General features: G+C 41.5%; 1 pseudogene; it reads right to left on the bottom strand.

The window, feature by feature from the left end:
* CLIC4P3 (chloride intracellular channel 4 pseudogene 3) lies at positions 3420–4457 on the bottom strand (annotated as a pseudogene).

Here is a 19433-nt window from a genome sequence, read left to right as displayed (position 1 = left end):
TGTCCCCTTTTGAGATCTTCCACTTAGTTAATGGGATAGGAAATAAACAGTTTTGAGTTAAAAGAATAGGTTTATTATCACAGTGCAACTCCTTAAATTAAAATCCATATAGTCCAGGTCTTTCTTCTTCCTTTGTTTGGGTTTCTCTTTTCTAACACCTGTCCTTTAGTTTTCAAACTGTAATTTTTTTTAACTTCCTGGTTCTGCTTTATTAGGGCAAAACCTTATTATATTACATTTCCTCATGAAATTTCTCATTGCTCTCTCTCCCCACTCCCCCTGCCCCAGAAATATCTGATAAGTATACTCATTGTTTACTAGGACACTTATCTTAAACCATAGACAAATTTTCCTGGATAAATTGATGTTATTTAATATTTTCAGGGGTACAAATTTTAAAGTTCTGTGGAAATACTTTCTGGGCTAATGGCCAAACTAAAATAGAAGAGGAGGGACCTTTGATAATATGTTCCCTAGAGAAGGCTTTGTGATTGAATGGAATGAGCAAAGTCCACAATGAGTTACTATTTTTAATATAAAAATACGATAACTAAAAATCTAAGTAGGTGGTCCCACTTAATCTTTATGACAACAGGCAGAAAATGTAGCTAGGGAGAACAAGAGATAATTAAATGATCACAGTTGATAATGTGCTATTGCTCATGGTGTCTAAAATTTGACCAAATTTTAGACACCAGTGCCTAACAACCTGCTTAGAAGTAGTCTGTCCCTCCTGCTCTGTGGGAATGTCTCTGAAACTGACCTATTCCCAGCCAAAGACTTGGATGTAAGGACAGCAAGAGTAGCCCCAGCCTTGGATCATCCCTGAGTTCTGGGGACATAAAGGAATCTAAAGCAAAACTACCATGTATCTGCCCACTCAAAGGGGACCAGCTACCTGGTCTTAGTCATGGTACATGGGGCTTAGTCACCAATCAATACCACTGACATTAGAAGGAGAACATCGAGGATAAGCTAGTTAGAAGTGTTATCAACTCAAAGACTATTTCATATTAGTAACTGCACCAAAGTCTTGAAAACTTGCAGCCCATGTATGAAAGAAACTTGACAGTTGTCTCAACATTGATCATCTTTTTTTTTTTTACCCCAAGTTGTTGTTTATTTTCATGAGGGGGGGAAAGAATCCTTTATGATAGTGAAAGTATACTTTATTTTTTTGATACAATAGCTGCCAACAATATACTGGTGTTGATGTTCCAAAAAGAAAAGAAAATACGTGCATGCTATAATAAGCTTTCATTTGCCTGTTCAAGAAATTCTAAAGAAAATACTCCAATTCTGTTCAACATTATGGCTTGAGAAGTTGAAATTTTTCCATGATGAAAATATAATTTGTGTGGCCCAAACTTTGACTATTTATAAAGGATGGAGTTTTTAAAAGCCCAAATATATCAATAATGAATGCTCCCCTCTCTTTGAATTAAATGCTTAATTCAAATTAATGTAAGAAATTGGTGAATCATTAAACTTGATGAAATTTCCATCAAAATTTTCATGAAAAAATACATTTCTATTTCCTCTCCATTTTTACTTCATAGATATTTTCTAAATAGGTTTAAGTGCACAGAAATAAATGCTATCTACATGCAACTCTGGAGCGATTCAAAACACAACAGAAATAAAGTTAACATGCCTAAATCCTAGAGTGTATCCACTTAGTGTAAGAATAAATGTCAGAAATCTCTTAATTGTAAACAGATTGCTCAAGGATTTAAAGATAAATTGTGAAAGTCAAAATTACCAAGAAATAAAATCTTATTTGAATTTTATGACAAAAGTTAACAGTCGTAGTAAAAGAAGACAACAGAACTGTATAGAAAATATGCATCTACATCAAAAAAGGGAAGTTTTATCAACTAGAATAGTAGAGAACTTTCCAACTGTTGAATACAAAACTTTCTCAGAATCCCTTGGAAAACAGTAAGACTTTCCATTCAGACTCCAATCTCCTCACTGAAGTAAATACAAAAGGTGTTTAAATGAAGAGGAATGATTTGTTAGTTGTAAAAATAAAATCAGATTATTTCCATTATGCCAATTTATATACTGCACGAACTGTCTACCATGAAAATTTTATGGTCCAAATTTCTCAAGATTTTAAGCTATGCTCTTTCCACATACAGTGGGATTAAAGCATGTTGTCAGATCATCCTTTTAACTAGGTAGCTTTTGTCCATTTACCAATTTCCATTTGATTTGACTAACGTCCCTGATAAAGTAGTATCTGTCTTTCAACAACAAAAAAAACAATTCTGATCATCAAAATTACAATGGACATACCTTCCTCGAACGTGGCCAAGTGTAATCACTGGGTTAATAAAAAACAAGAGAATAAATATCCAAAATGAAAATACTCTGAGTTGGGCCAGACGCAGTGGCTCATGCCTGTAATCCTAGCACTTTGGGAGGACGAGGAGGGTGGATTACAAGGTCACAAGTTCAAGATCAGGCTGCCTAGGATGGTGAAACCCCCTCTCTACTAAAAATACAAAAATTAGCCGGGCGCGGTGGTGGGCGCCTGTAATCCCAGCTACTCGAGAGGCTGAGGCAGGAGAATCTCTTGAACCCGGGAAGAGGAGGTTGCAGTGAGCCAAGACCATGCCATTGCACTCCAGCCTGGGCAACAGAGTGAGACTCCATCTCAAAAAAAAAAAAAAAAAGAAGAAAAGAAAATACTTTGAGTTTCAGAATGAATTTTCATCACTCTAGTTTGAAGAATGGAGCTCTTTCCTCTGTTAGCCCTCCACCCTGCACTAAATATTACAAAAATCCAAAAAATACATAAATATTCCTTATACCATGCATTATGCACCAGTTTGGGGTTGCCTGATAAAGTCGTAGCTACTATTTAAACAGACATTGCACCTCAAAATTCTGTCATCTATGCACAGTGAATAGACACAATGGTGAGGGCTCCTGAAAGATGGCAAGCTACCTCTAAAGTGAAAAGTTTGTGGTGGAGTGTCTCCAAATTAAAAAGAGGGGAACACGGGTACAGAGGTAGGCAGGGTAAAAGGATTTTAAAATAATACTGCTTAGGAGTGTGTGTGTGTGTGTGTGTGTGTGTGTGTGTGTGTGTGTGTGTGTATATATTTTTTTTTTTTTTTTTTGAGATGCAATCTCGCTCTGTCTCCCAGGCTGGAGTGCAGTGGCGTGAACTTGGCTCACTGCAACCTCTGCCTCCCAGGTTTAAGCGATTCTCCAGCTGCAGCCTCCCAAGTAGCTGGGATTACAGGTGCGCACCACCGCGTCCTGCTAATTTTTTTTTTCTTTTTTTTTAGTAGAGACGGGGTTTCACCATGTTGGCCAGGCTGGTCTTGAACTCCTGCTCAGGTGATCTGCCCGCCTCGGCCTCCCAAAGTGCTGGGATTACAGGCACGAGCCACCGCACCTGGTCAAGGAGTGTATATTTTAAGATAACTACTATACCTTGTCTACCCTTGATCCTAATCCTCAATAACTGCATGTTCGTGCAAAATACAATTTCTACTCTATAAGAAGAAGAGTAGCCTGTTAGGAAAAGCATATTCTTAGGGGAAGACATGAAGACATCTCTTTCATAAATGCAATTTTACTTGGTGGGTCTTTTGGCATCACTATATGCTATTTCAACCTCCTTATCACTGGGACAGGTATTGATGAACTCGTCCCTACTATATGCATTAGTTAGGTATCTCCAGATGCCAGTCATCTCTTTTGGAATATCAAAGTTGTGATATTTTTTGGCCACCACCTTGACAATATGCAGTTTGGGGAGCAGGCTGCAATCAGCTAATGTCATTTCATTGCCATCCAGAAATTTATGTGTAGAAAACTTAATGTCCTCTATACTATTTTCATCAATTTCATCAGGGAGAGGAGAATTCAGATATTTATCCAGTTTCTGCAGGGTTTTCAGGAGATCCTTCTCCAGTGCTTCATTAGCCTCTCGCCTTCAATTCTTGATAAATGCAGAGAATTTGGCAAAGATGTCCATTCCAGCAGTATTTGATTCTGGGTGTTTTGGTGAAAGCTTTAAGTACTTGGGAGGGCATAAGACTTCTTCAAGAAATTCCTCAATCTTACTTACATCCGTTTTGACTTCACTGTTGAAACTTACAAACGGTGGGTGGGTCCTGGGAGCTAAGTTCTGTAGGTCTGCAGGCTTCCATTTCAGGTCAACAGTTGTGACACTAAATACAACTCCTTTGAGTCAACGAATCATGAAGAACCTCTGGGAAAAGGGGCAGTTTCCTATGCTTTCACCATCACTGCCAGCTTTGACGAGGAGCTCAATGAGGGGCTCTTTGTCCTCCTCCTTCAGCCCGTTCAACGGCATCGACAACGCCATGGCCGGCTCGGCTGCGCTCCGCAAACGGCGACGGCTGCTGCTGCTGCTGCTCCTCCTGCTCCAAGGCTGCTCCGACTGCCGGCTCCCGCCGCAGTGCTCTCTGGACAGTACGGCGTCTAACTGGCCGCGGCCTCGGCCCCTCAGCACCTCCCCACGCCCTGCGCACGACCAAAGTTGATCATCTTAAAAACGTACTTGATATTGGCCGGGCGCGGTGGTTCATGCCTGCAATCCCAGCACTTTGGGAGGCCGAGGTGGGCGGATCACAAGGTCAGGAGTTCGAGACCAGCCTGGCCAACATGGTGAAACCCCATCTCTACTAAAAACACACAAAAAAATTAGCCGGGCGTGGTGGTGGGCGCCTGTAATCCCAGCTACTCAGGAGGCTGAGGCAGGAGAATCGCTTGAACCCGGGAGGCTGAGCTTGCAGTGAGCCAAGATTGTACCACTGCACTCCAGACTGGGGGACAGAGCAAGACTCCATCTCAAAAAAAACAAAACAAAAAGTACTTGATATCACTAACAAGTTGTGAAGCTGAATAAACATTTCTAAATTATTAATAAGAAAAGGCCAGGCGAGATGGCGCCTGTAATCCCAGCACTTTGGGAGGCTGAGGCGGGCGGATCACGAGGTCAGGAGATAGCGACCATACTGGCTAAACGGTGAAACCCCGTCTGTACTAAAAATACAAAAAATTAGCCGGGCCTGGTGGCACGTGCCTGTAGTCCCAGCTACTCAGGAGGCTGAGGCAGGAGGCTGAGGCAGGAGAATCGCTTGAACCTGGGAGGCGGAGGTTGCAGTGAGCTGAGATGGCACCACTGCACTCCAGCCTGGGCGACAGAGCAAGACACCATCTCAAAAAAAAAAAAAGAAAAGAAAAGAAGAAATTTTGATCAACCATGGTTTTTTTTTTTTCCTGGATTTTGCGCTGTTTAATTTGTCAGCTGTTTAAATCTTGCCATTTGTGGTGATTTCTCATTGTAAATATTCCCTTTTGTACCTAATTTTGCATTTGTAATTTTGAAATTTTTTTTTCAAAGAAGGCTCCCATAATTGTGTAAGCATCAGGCTTCATAAAGCATGGGTTTGCCCCTGTGAAGAGGAATAAGGTAATAATAAATAATTAAAGGCAAAGCCATGAAGGTACCCATAGTGTCATTTGAGAGTCTGTGTATATTTTGTTAGTTTCTCTAGTTAAAAAACAAAAAGATTTTTTAAAATCCCCCCAGCAATTTAGAAAGCCAAGAAAAACCCAAATAAAACAAAGATACGCAATGAGATGAAATATTTCTTATTCTGATTTTCAAAAGAACTTTGAGAGGCCCAAGTGGTGGAAGCTGAGCCCCCAGGGCCTGGGCATCAAACTGGATGGCTTTGCAGGAAACCCGAAGAAGAAATCTGGGGTAGGAGCAAAAAGGAGGAGGGGTCGCTGAGAGAGCAAGGATCAGCCAGGGCCTGTAATACCACCACTTTGGAAGGACGAGGTGGGAGGATCACTTGAGCTCAGGAGTTTGAGACCAGTCTGGGCAACATAGGGAGACCCCATCACTATAAAAAATAATAATAAATTAGCCAGGAATGGTGGCACATGCCGGTAGTCCCAACTATTGGGGAGGCTGAGGCTGTAGTGAACCAAAATCACACGACTGCACTCCAGCCTGAGCGACAGAACCAGGCCTTGTCTCAAAAAAAAAACAAAAAGCAGGGCCGGGCGCAATGGCTCATGCCTGTAATCCTAGCACTTTGGGAGGCAGAGGCGGGTGGATCACCTGAGGTCAGGAGTTTGAGACCAACCTGGCCAATGTGGCGAAACCCTGTCTCCACTAAAAATACAAAAATTAGCCGGATGTGTTGGCGCATGCCTGTAATCCCAGCTACTCGGGAGGCTGAGGCAGGAGAATCGCTTGAACCCAGGGAGCAGAGGTTGCAGTGAGCCGAGATCACGCCATTGCACTCCAGCCTGGGCAACAAGAGCAAAAGAGCGAAACTCCATCTGAAAACAAACAACAACAATAACAAAATAAAAAATAAAAATAAAGATTTGAGGAGTAAGACCTGAAAAGTGCTGGAGGGACCCCAGAGCTGACCCCAGGCCAACCTGCCTCTCTGCATCTCCACCTTACCTTACCCCAGGGGGCATCACTATTAATATTCCACCAGAGTCTATTAGCCAGTGTTTTAGGTATTATTTCACTCCTTTTACTGTAGAGTTTTTAGATCTTTGGGGCTTTTAAAAATAAAAATAAAAAAAAATAAGGCTGTACCTTATATATTTTATGTAAACCACCATAGCGCAAAATAATTTGATCCTTTTGTTTTTACTAGCGAAATCATGTTTATTTCATCTAGGCCTAAGAAGTACATATTTTCCCAGGAGGAGATATCACCAGTTTGTGGCACTAATTATGCCTCATTCCTGACCCTATGCTAGTTCTAGTAAATCCATTGCTCCTTAGCAGTGGTATATCTCAGATATATATCTACATACCGTCTAGAGGATTCCAAATTTTCCAGCCATATTCACAATCAAAACTGCACTGCAGTCACCCAGACCAACCATTTGCTAATTCAAGTCAGACATCAAGTCAAATTCTCTACATGACTGCAGCCTGGAGAAGCTTCAGTTCTGTCCTGCTTTCTGCCTTAGCACTGTTATTTCTTCTTGACTAGCCTAGAAGTCTTGTAAAAAGGGAGATTTTCAACCAACTCTTCCTTTTGCTAGAGTTTCTTCAAAGTCTACTCTAATTTGGAAATATTACTACTTATCTCAGAAAAAGTAAACACTTTTAAAGCCCATAAGCAAATATGCTCATTTGCTACCAATTCATCTACTATAACATCATTAATTTGGATCTCACTAAATTAGAACATGATATTCTAGACAGCAACTGTCTTGAATTTTATGCTTATCCTATCATTGGGGGAAAGAAAAAAAAGAAAGCATATTCAAATCGACAGTATACACAAAATTATAAGAGAATTATTTATAATCTAGTCTCTATTACAGAGTTGTTTGGAATATTTTAGAAAAATCTGCTAAAATGCTAAACTTCTAAATCATTTTTAGTAATTAAAGTAGCTTCTCTAAAGCATGTGAAAGGGCCCTGTTTCCACACAGAGCTTTCTAGAATCAAGAGAGCCAGGGCCAAGTTAAAGAGGCACTCCCAACGACTCTACTGCAGGCTACTAAAAGTTTCAAATTGGCCAGGCGCAGTGGCTCACGCCTGTAATCCCAGCACTTTGGGAGGCCGAGGTGGGTGGACCACCTGAAGTCAGGAGTTCGAGACCAGCCTGACCAATATGGTGAAACCCCCCCATCTACTAAAAATACAAAAATTAGCCAGGTGTGGTGGCAGGCGTCAATAATCCCAGCTACTCAGGAGGCTGAGGCAGGAGAATTGCTTGAACCTGGGAGGCGGAGGTTCCAGTGAGCCGAGATTGCTCCACTACACTCCAGCCTGGGTGACAAGAGTGAGACTCCGTCTCAAAGGAAAAAAAAAAAAAAGAAAGGAAGAGGATTAGAGAAGGAATAAAGGTAAAATAGAATATTTTATTTTTATTTTTAATACATCTAATAGATAACAGTTTGTTCAAAATAATAATAGCAGTGATTCAATATTAGCAATATTCAGTATAGCTTATGGATAACTGAAATGAATGACAGCAATGTTATAGGGGTGTGAGAGAGGAATTGAGAATATTCTGTTATAAGATACTTGTATTACCTGTCAAGTGGTGGTGTTATTTGAAAGTGGACTTAGATTAGTTGTAAATGTATACTGCAAACTCTAGAGCAACTTCTGAAAAGAAAGAAGTAGAATTGATATGCTAAGAGAGGAGAGAAATTAGAATCATATAAAATGTTCAATTGGCCGGGCACGGTTGCTCACGCTTATAATCCCAGCACTTTGGGAGGCCAAGGCGGGCAGATTGCTTGAGCCCAGGAGTTCGAGACCAGGCTGGCCAACATGGTGGACCCCTCTTTCTACCAAAAAAAATACAAAAATTAGCCAAGTGTGCTGGCGCACGTCTGTAGTCTCAGCTACTCAGGAAGCTGAGGTAGGAGGATCACTTGAGCCCAGGAGGTCGAGGCTGCAGTGATCCAAGATCATGCCACTGTACTCCAGCCTGGACAACAAAGCAAAATCCTGTTTAGAAAAACAACAACAACAAAAAAAAACGTTCAGCTAACACCAGAGAAGGCAGAAAAAAAGTGTAAGGCAAAAACAACAACAACAACAAAAAAAACAAAGAACAAGGATAATGAATAGAAACCAGTAACAAACATGGTAGACGTTAATCCAACTGTATCAACAGTCACTTTAAACATCAATGGTCTAATTATTATAAAATACACCAATTACAAGACAGAAACTGTCAGAAGAGATTAAAAAACCCAACACCCAACTATTTGTCATCTAACAGAAACCAACTTTAAATATAAAGACATAGATTAAAAGTAAAGGGATGTTAGCTGGGCATGGTGGCTCATGCCTGTAGTCCCAGCTACTTGGGAGGCTGACGTGGGAGGATGGCTTCAGCCCGGGAGGAGGAAGCTGCAGTGAGCCAAGATCATTCCACTGCACTACAGCCTGGGTGACACAGGGAGACTCTGTCTTAAACAAACAAACAAACAAAAACAAAAACGAGTATAGTCAATTTTTACATGCATACATATATGCTCTTTATTTATTTATTTATTTATTTTGAGATGGAGTCTTGCTGTCACCCAGGCTGGAGTGCAGTGGCCGCCTCCCAGGTTCAAGCGATTCTCCTGCCTCAGCCTCCTGAGTACCTGGGATTACAGGCGCACGCCACCATGCCCGGCTAATTTTTTTGCATTTTCAGTAGAGACGGGGTTTCACCATGTTGGCCAGGCTGGTCTCCAACTCCTGACCTCAAGTGATCCGCCCCCCTCGGTTTCCCAAAGTGCTGGGATTATAGGCACGAGCCACCGTGCCTGACCTACATATGCTTTTCACATATTTTAACAATAATATTAAATCATTTCAGTACTTATGTGCTAAGCACTGTTCTAGGCACTATATGTGTATTAATTCCTCGTTCTAGGCACTATATGTGTATTAATTCCTTTAATCCTTATAATAAACCTGTAAGTTAGGTGGTATTATCATCTTATTTTAGATAGGAAAACTATGGCATAGATAAAGCATCTGGCTGGAGTCATGTGATTAGTAAGCACAGAGCTAAAATTCAGACAGACCCCACCCAGTCAGGCCCCAGTGTCTGTGTTCTTAGCCTTTCTATATTACAACTGCATATAAAGATAATCGTAGAAGCGGCTTAGCACAGTGTCTCATCCACAATATTAAGTGCTCAATATTATCATTATCATTTTTATCATTATTACTATGCTTCATTGAATCTGAGGTGCCATCAATTGTAGATACATCATTATTTTATGTGCCATTAACAAAGAAAGAAAACACTGCCAATCATAACTGAAGGCTGAGTGTTCTAAAGTGCATTCCAATTTCAAAGATGTGAGGAAATTGCACTTTGTAGAGTGAATGAAATTCAGTATTGTTATATATAGTTTCGCATTTAGTATACAGCTGCTTTGAATACCATCCATATACTAAGGATCCCCAAATTTACATTTTCAATACTGACCATTTCTTTAAATTGTAGACCTGCATATCCAAGTGCTTAGTTGACATCTCCACATGGATGCTAATAGACATCTCAAAAATTAAATGCCTAAAACTGAGTTCTCAATAGTCTTTACCATATCAGTATATGGCATTTTTATTCTTCCGATTATTTAGTCCAAAAGCTTTGGAGTCAGCAAATTCTGATGTCTCTACCTTCAATATAAACCTAAAATTCTACAACTTCTCACTACTCTCATTGCCAATACACTATTCCAAAGCACCCGTGGCAGAGATGGCTAGCTCCTCACCTGATCCATGCTTTCCTCTTCTTCCTGGGCACACATTTCCCAGCCTCCCCTTGCAGTTAGATATAGTCATATGATGAAATTGCTTTATAAGCAATGAAATATGAGAGCAAATTTCTCGTGCCACTTTTAGTCTGCTCCTATAAAACTCACAAACATATTCCTATATGTTTTTCTCCTCTGACAGGTTGCTGCAGTAGGGATGACTGCATGCGACCCCCAAGGATGACCTTGGTGGCCATGTGCTGAAGGTAGCAAAGCTCTTGTCACCCTGGGTTTCTGAATGACTGCATGGAGGAAGGCTGCCCCATTGACCTGTTCACCCACATAATACTTTAAGATGAGCAATAACAAAACGTGTTGTATTTGAGCCAGTGAGCAGTGACAAAACTGATATTGGAGGATACAACATGGAGAGCCATGTTAAAAAGCAGCAAAATTCTTGATTAAAAAGTCGCCTGTAATAAATTAGAAGTCAGATCAAATGTCTCCTGGGCCTATAACTCTAGGGAAAAAAAGATAGAAAGCAATTTTAGGTATGTATTGATGGTTACTTGCTGTATTTAGCAAGGTATTACATGAAGAGAAAAGCTGACTCAAGAACCGGCTGGTTCAATAGCAGAAATGAAAGAAAATAAAGAGTTAAAATAGGCCGAGCACGGTGGCTCATGCCTGTAATCCCAACACTTTGGGAGGCCGAGGTGGGGGGATCAAGAGGTCAAGAGTTTGAGACCAGCCTGGCCAACATGGTGAAACCCTGTCTCTACTAAAAATACAAAAATTAGCCGGGTGTGGTGGCGTATGCCTGTAGTCCCCGCTACTTGGGAGGCTGAGGCAGGAGAATTGCTTGAACCCGGGAGGCGGAGGTTGCAGTGAGCCAAGATCGTGCCACTGCACTCCAGCCTGGGCAACAGAGCAAGACTTCGTCTTGAAAAAAAAAAAAAGAGTTAAAACAATGCCGCACACCAACGACCATCTGATCTTCAACAAAGTTGACAAAAACAAGCAATGGGAAAAGGACTCCCTATTCAATAAATGGTGCTGGGATAACTGGCTACCCATATGCAGAAGACTGAAATTCCACCCCTTCCTTACACCATACACAAAAATCAATTCAAGATGGATTAAAGGCTTAAATGTAAAACCTAAGACTATAAAAATCCTGCAAGATAATCAGGAAATACCATTCTGGAATAGGACCTCACAAAGATTTCATGACAAAGATGCCAAAAGCAGTTGCAACAAAAACAAAAATTGACAAATAGGACCTAATTAAAGAGCTTCTGCACAGCAAAAGAAACTTATCAACAGAGTAAACAGACAACCTATAGAATGGGAGAAAATATTTACAACCTATGAACCCGACAAAGGTCTAATATCCAGAATCTGTAAGGAACTTAAATCAACTAGAAAAAAAAACAAACGACCCCATTTAAAAATGGGCAAAGGACAAGAACAGACACTCTTCAAAACAAGACATAGACACATCCACAGGGAAGTGAGGGGAGAGAGAGCATCAGGACAAATAGCTAAGGCATGTGGGGCTTAATGCCTACGTGATGGGTTGATAGGTACAGCAAACCACCATGAAACATGTTAACCTATGTAGCAAACATGCACATGCTATACAGGTATCCCAGGACTTCAAATTAAATTTAATTTAATTTAATTTAAAAAAACATACACATGGCCAACAAGCACATGAAAAAAGGCTCAACATCACTAATTATTAGAGAAATGCAAATCAAAACCACAATGACCCCAAAGTCCCCAAAGTCCCCCTGCCCTTAAGTCAAATTAAAAAAAACCACGGCCAGGCGCGGTGGCTCACGCCTGTAATCCTAGCACTTTTGGAGGCTGAGGCGGGCAGATCACGAGGTCAGGAGTTCGAAACCAGCCTGACCAACATGGTGAAACCCTGTCTCTGCTAAAAATACAAAAAAAAAAAAATTAGCTGGGCATGGTGGCACACGCCTATAATCCCAGCACTTTTGGAGGCTGAGGCGGGCGGATCACGAGGTCAGGATTTCGAGACCAGCCTGACCAACATGGTGAAACCCTGTCTCTACTAAAAATACACACACACACAAAAATTAGCCGGGCATGGTGGCACATGCCTGTAATCCCAGCTACTCAGGAGGCTGAGGCAGGAGAATCGCTTGAACCCGGGAAGCGGAGGTTGCAGTGAGCTGAGATCGCGCCACTGCACTTTAGCCTGGGCAACAGAGCGAGACTCCATGTCAAAAAAAAAAAAAAAAACCAACACGAGATGCCATCTCACACCACTCAGAATGGCTATTATTAAAAAGGCAAAAAACAACAGATGCTGGAAAGGTTGTGGAGAAAAAGGAATGCTTATACACGGCTGATGAAAATGTAGATTAGTTCAGCCACTGTGGAAAGCAGTATGGCAATTTCTCAAAGAGCTCAAAGCAAACTTACCATTCCACCCAGCAATCCAATTATTGGTATATACCCCGAAAAATACAAATCATTCTACCATAAAGACGCATGCATGCATATGTTGACTGCAGCACTATTCACAATAGCAAATATATGGAATTAACCTAAACAACCATGTATGGTAGAATGGATAAAGAAAAGGTGGTACATATATACCATAGAATACTATGCAACATTAACAAAGAACACAATCATGTCCTTCCCAGAAACATGGATGAAGCTGGAGGCCATTATCCTAAGTGAACTAACACAGGAACAGAAAACCAAATATCTCATGTTCTCACTTATAAGTGGGAGCTAAACACTGATTCCACATGGACATAAAAAAGGGAACAATAGACACCAGGCCCTGCTTGAAGGTGGACAGAGGGAGGAGAGGAGGAATCAAAAAACTACCTATTGGTTATTACCTGGGCGGTGAAATAATCTGTACACCAAACCCCTGTGACATACAATGTACCTATATAACAAACCTGCACATGTACCCCTGAACCTAAAAGTTAAAAAGAAAGAGTTGGGAAATTTGGGGATACAGGGTTAGAAAAGCTCACAACTTCTATATCCCAAATAAGAAGAGAGGAGACCGAAAAAGACTTTGTGTCACAAAGTGTACGGGAAGACTTTGTCATGATATGCTGGTGACGCTGCACATCTTCATGTAGGCCACACAAGCGAGGCTTGGCTGCAGTCTGACCTGAGTGTTGGCAGAATGCCCCCCGATTCTTCCTGGAACAAGGGGAGATAAGGGCAAGGAACTGCTGCAAGGCAGTTTCATGTCCCTATCTTGTGAGCTTTTGACCCCTTGACACAATAGTCCATAAAGACCCCTCACTTAGAGGGACCCTGCCCTAAAGCAAAAATTAGATTAAGGGTGGTGGTGCCCTCACCTAAGCCTGTTGCTTGAGATGACATCGAGGTAGCCAACATTAATTTGAAAGAGAAAGAAGCACAGGACCAAGAAACAAACACTGCAAAAAGGAGACTTTACCACTATGTCTAGGAAAGAACATTGGGCATAGTTACATTACAGCACATGGAACTGTCTGGAAGCAAAGAGATCTGAAGCCTTCTATGGTTTTGAAGGAATTAAATTACCAAAGAAACCAAGAGCCTGCTCTCAAATGCTTCGAGGTGTAAAACAACCCTTGGGCAGGAAATGATCAGAGAAGGCTGCCATGGTCTCCAATCCCCATCATTATCTCTCTGACTTCATTTCTTACTTTCCCCCCCTCACTCCCTCCGTTCCAGCCAGCCTCCTTACCATTCCTTTAACAATAAACATGCTACCACCTTTGCCTTTGCTGATTCCTCTGCCAGGAAAAAACTGTTTTTCCTGTGGATCCCAGGCCCGGTGGATCCCAGTCCCACACTGTGATCCCAGTGGATCACTGTGGATCCCAGCCCCAGGCCTATTTAGGGGAAAGTGAAACAGTCTACCTTTCTTCCTGCAAGCTGCCACTCCCACAGACATCCAGGTCCACTGTTGCCATAAAACAAAATCTAGGTGTAACCTAATTGCCCTGCCACCTGTTCATGCAAGAACCTCAACTCCCCACAAAAAGCACCTCATTATTTCCAGGAGTTGCTGGGGGTTGTCACACATACTTAGGAACAAGTCCACTGCAACAGTCTCTGTAAGACTCTACTCTCAGCTGGATACCACAGACACTGCTGCCACTCTAAGGGCTTGGTTAGGGTGTTGGTTTTTCCTGCAGGATTGCAATAGTTCTGCCCTGGTGGCCCCCTGGACTGTAGGGGTCTGCAGAAGATATGCGGTGGTCTGTGGGTGGTTGGGATGAACAGCTCTCCCCACATGTTATCTTCTGCTAAATCAGTACAGGGCAGTGCCACATGGAAATATAGGCTAAGGCAGCTATTGGAAGTCTGTAGTAAGAGAAGGGCATTAGTGCTCTCCAGGTATACATTTTTCTCTCTTTTTTTTACTGACACGGTATTACTCTCTTGCTCAGGCTGGAGTGCAGTGCCTATTCAAAGGTGAGATCACAGCTCACCAAAGCCTTAACTCCCTGCCTTAAGCAATTCACCCACTTCAGCCTCCCAGGTAGCTGAGACTATAAGCATGTACCATCATGCCTGGTTAGAGAACACTTGTTTTTTTTGTTGTTATAGTTGTTGTTGTTTGAGATGGAGTCTCACTCTGTCACCCAAGACAGAGTGCAGTGGTGCAGAGGCTCACTGCAACCTCCACCTCCTGGGTTCAAGCGATTCTCCAGTCTCAGCCTCCCGAGTAGCTGGAATTACAGGCATGCCCCACCACACCCAGCTAATTTTTGTATTTTTAGTAGAGATGGGGTTTCACCATGTTGGCCAGTCTGGTCTCGAACTCCCGATCTCAGGTGATCCGCCTGCCTCGGCCTCCCAAAGTGCTGGGATTACAGGCGTGAGCCACCACGCCTGACCTTTTTTTTTAAATTAATTAATTAATTAATTAATTTTGAGACGGAGCCTCAATCTGTTGCTCAGGCTGGAGTGCAGTGGCACGATCTTGGCTCACTGCAACCTCTACCTCCAGGGTTCAAGCAATTTTCCTGCCTCAGCCTCCCGAGTAGCTGGGACTACAGGCACGCACCACCATGCCCAGCTAATTTTGTATTTTTAGTAGAAACAGGGCTTCACCATGCTGCCTAGGCTGGTCTCGAACACCTGACCTCAGGTGATCCGCCCACTTCAGCCTCCCAAAGTGCTGGGATTACAGGCGTGAGCCACCTTACCTGGCCACAATGGAGATTTTTTAATTTTCTTTATTTTTTTGAGATGGAGTCTCACTCTATCACCGAGGCTTGGATGCAGTGGTGCGATCTCAGCTCACTGCAACCTCCACCTCCCAGGATAGAGAGATTCTGTGCCTCAGCCTCCCGAGTAGCTGGGATTACAGGCACGCACCACCATGCCTGGCTAATTTTTGTATTTTTAGTAGAGACAAGGTTTCACCATGTTGGCCAGGCTTCTCTCAAACTCTTGGCCTCAAGTGAGCTGTCTCCCTCGGCTTCCCAAAGTACTGGGATTACAGGCGTGAGCCACTGGGCCTGGCCACAATGGAAATTTTTTTATAATTCAAGTGTAATTTGAAAATTGAGGTAAAATTATTATTTTTTTTTAAATTTTTTTTTTGAGATGGAGTTTTGCTCTTGTTGCCCAGACTGGAGTGCAATGGCACAATCTTGGCTCACTGCAACCTCTGCCACCGGGTTCAAGTGATTCTCCTGCCTCAGCCTCCCGAGTAGCTGGGATTACAGGCATGCACCACTACGCCTGGCTAATTTTGTATTTTTAATAGAGACAGGGTTTCTCCGTGTTGGTCAGGCTGGTCTCGAACTCCCGACCTCAGGAAATCCGCCCACCTCAGCCTCCCAAAGTGCTGGGATTACAGGCGTGAGCCACTGTGCCCAGCCAAAATTATTAAATTAAGGTTAAACTACTTAAAATATAATGAACAAACATCCAGTGAACAGCTTGATGAATATTTACATATTCATATTTACACAACCATGTAACCACCACTTATATGAAGACATAAAACATTTCCATAACCCAGACTATCCTTCATAAAAGGTGATTTTCCAATTCTGTCATTTTTTTACGAACTTGAATTAGTTCATAATGAAGAACTTTCCTATCATTTCTGGATGCTCTTGAATATAGTTTGCCCAGAAAAACAAAATAAATGTGATTCTTTTCCTTTATTTGCCTATTATACAATTAGTGAGTTGATGTTCCAGCAGCCTCCAAAAGGTAACCAGTGAGGTTTTATTTATTGATTATTGATGTCATTATGAACTCATGGAGTTTTAAAATACTTGATGTGTAAATATTACAGTACTTTGCAGTCATTATGCTTTTTGATGCTCAAATTGTTCCATCTTGTCATACAACCCTTGGAGTCCTTAATTTTTCTTAATTTCTGGTAAGATAGGATATTCCAAGTTCATCTTTTACATTTCCAGCCTCGGAATTGGAACTAGCCACTTCCCTAAGGAGTTCTGCATATTTGTTTGTTTTAAATTATATTTACTCACTATAATCTGGATGCTGGGTCTTTATTGCTATCATTTCTTTTCAGATCTTTTCAGTGCACAGAGCTAAGAATTTTTTTTCAAAATAAAAATAAATTATGAATAAATACTGCTATTTCTAATCTAAATTAAAGATTAAAGGGTTTTTACTTAATTTCTTTGATTTTGTGTTTGCATCTCTTCTCTCATGTGTAAAATCTTGGTTCCTAATGATATTAACATAATGACTTACTTGATTTATTCCACTGGATAGATAGAATAGTTTCAGGATAACAATATCAATGTTATTACTAACAGTTAGATCACCGAATGCCTTTTAAGATTTATTCGCAGTTATTTTAGTCCTTAGGATCCAGCCCACAAAGTAGAAGAAAAATACTTTGTTCATGAATCACTTGAAATCATTATTATATGCATAGTTTTGCCACCAACTTGATATATAATCAGGTTCAATTTGTTTCAGTTTGTCTTCAATTTTTAACGACTGCCTCTAGTTTTCTTTTTGATTATATTCAGTTGTTAAATTATTTACAACTTGGCTGGGCGCAGTGGTGCTCACGCCCGTAATCCTAGCACTTTGGGAGGCTGAGGTGGGCGGATCATGAGGTCAGGAGTTAGAGACCAGCCTGACTAACATGGTGAAACCCCATCTCTACTAAAAATATAAAAATTAGCCGGGTGTGGTGGGGCATGCCTGTAATTCCAGCTAATCGGGAGGCTGAGACTGGAGAATTGCTTGAACCTGGGAGGCGGAGGTTGCAGTGAGCCAAGATCGTGCCACTGCACTCCAGCCTGGGTGACAGAGTGAGACTCCATTTCAATATATATATAATATATATATATATGTGGGTGTGTATTTACAACAATCTTGCTGTTCTAACATCTATTAGTGACCTATTGGTGCATAACAAATTATACCAAACTTAGCGGCTTAAAATAACCAACTTTTATTATCTCACAGTTTCTGTGGATCAGGGATCCGGTGTGGCTTAGCTGGGTGGCCCTGGCTCAGGGTCTCCTCCTGAAATGCAGTCAAGATGTCAGCCAGGGATGTGGTAAGGCTCGACTAACGCCGGAGGATCTGCTTCTGCCAGGGCTCGGTCACATGGCTTTGCTGGGCTTTGGATCCTCGCCACATGGGACTGCTCTACAAGGCAACTGGTTCCCCCAGAACAAGTGATCCAAGAGAGAGAAACAGGGTAAAAAGGAAGCTACACTGTCTTTTAGAATCTCATCTTGGAAATTTTTATACCATCACTTCTGCCAAATTCTGTTTTTTTGTTTTTCCACACACAAAACGGATGTAACGTCTGCCAAATTCTACTGGTCTCACAGATCAACCCTGGTACAGTGTCAGAGGGGACATCACAAGGGTGTAAATACCACAACGTGGGGATTCTTGGGGGCCATCTTTTACACAAAGCAAAAATATAAAGCAAGATACATTCAGAGAGTTCTAGCTTTCACCTTTGTGTGTTCCACATTGCTTACCTCCACCTTTAGGAAACCACTTTTGTTACTACCTGCTTTATTTTTCCATTGTTTTGTTTGGAAAAATATCAAAAAATATGTACATATATCTGTAGTTCCAAAATTAACTTACTATACACCTTTTCAGCACCTTGCTTTCTTCAATTAATGCCGTGTCCAAAGGACCACCTAATGGCAACCTATAGACATCTTTATTCTATTTTATACCTTCATTCAACTCCATTATATAGCGATCCTGTAGTTTACATAATGTTGTAATGGCTTCATCATTTATCAATTTTTCTCCAATTTTTGGACATAGTTGCTTATAATTTTCATCATCATAAACAATGCTGCAATGAATATCTTTCTGTATAAAGGTTTTGCTGGATGTGGAATTATCTTAGACTACTAGACTCACAGATACAGATTTATTAAGTCAAAGATATGAATTTTTTTTTTTTTTTGAGACAGAGTCTCGCTCTATCGCCCAGGCTGGAGTGCAGTGGCACGACTTCGGCTCACTGCAATCTCTGCCTCCTGGGTTGAAGAGATTCTCCTGACTCAGTCTCCTGAGTAGCTGGATTACAGGCACTCACCACAATGCCCAGCTAATTTTTTGTATTTTTAGTAGAGACGGGGTTTCACCATCCTGGCCAGGCTGGTCTCGAACTCCTGACTTCGTGATCCACCCACCTCGGCCTCCTAAAGTGCTGGGATTACAGGCGTGAGCCACTGCGCCTGGCCGAAAATTTTTATGTTCTGCTTATGCATTGCTAAATTGGTTCACAAAAGAGTTATACTGCATTACGTTTCCACCTACTATGCAAAGAGTGTTCATTTTCTCTGTGTTGTGATCTGCATTTGGTAGCCAGGTTTTTTTTTTTTTTTGAGGCTGGTCTCGAACTCTTGACCTCATGATCCGCCCACCTCAGCCTCCCAAAGTGCTGGGATTACAGGAGTGAGCCACCGTGCCCAGCCCCACAATGGAGATTTTTAAAAATTGAAGTGTAATTTTAAAATTGAGGTAAAATTATTAAATTAAGGTTAAATTAAACTACCTAAAATATAATGTATGAATATTAAGTGAACAGCTTGATGAATATTTACATGTTGTACAACTATGTGACCACCATTTACATCAAGACATAAAGCATTTCCATAACCTAGACTATCCTTCATAAAAGCTGATGC

Source organism: Homo sapiens, chromosome X, assembly GCF_000001405.40.
Source record: "Homo sapiens chromosome X, GRCh38.p14 Primary Assembly".
In the NCBI taxonomy this organism is placed as follows: Eukaryota; Metazoa; Chordata; class Mammalia; order Primates; family Hominidae; genus Homo; species Homo sapiens.
The sequence above is the reverse complement of the archived record's forward strand: the minus strand, read 5'-3'. Positions and strand labels throughout refer to the sequence as shown.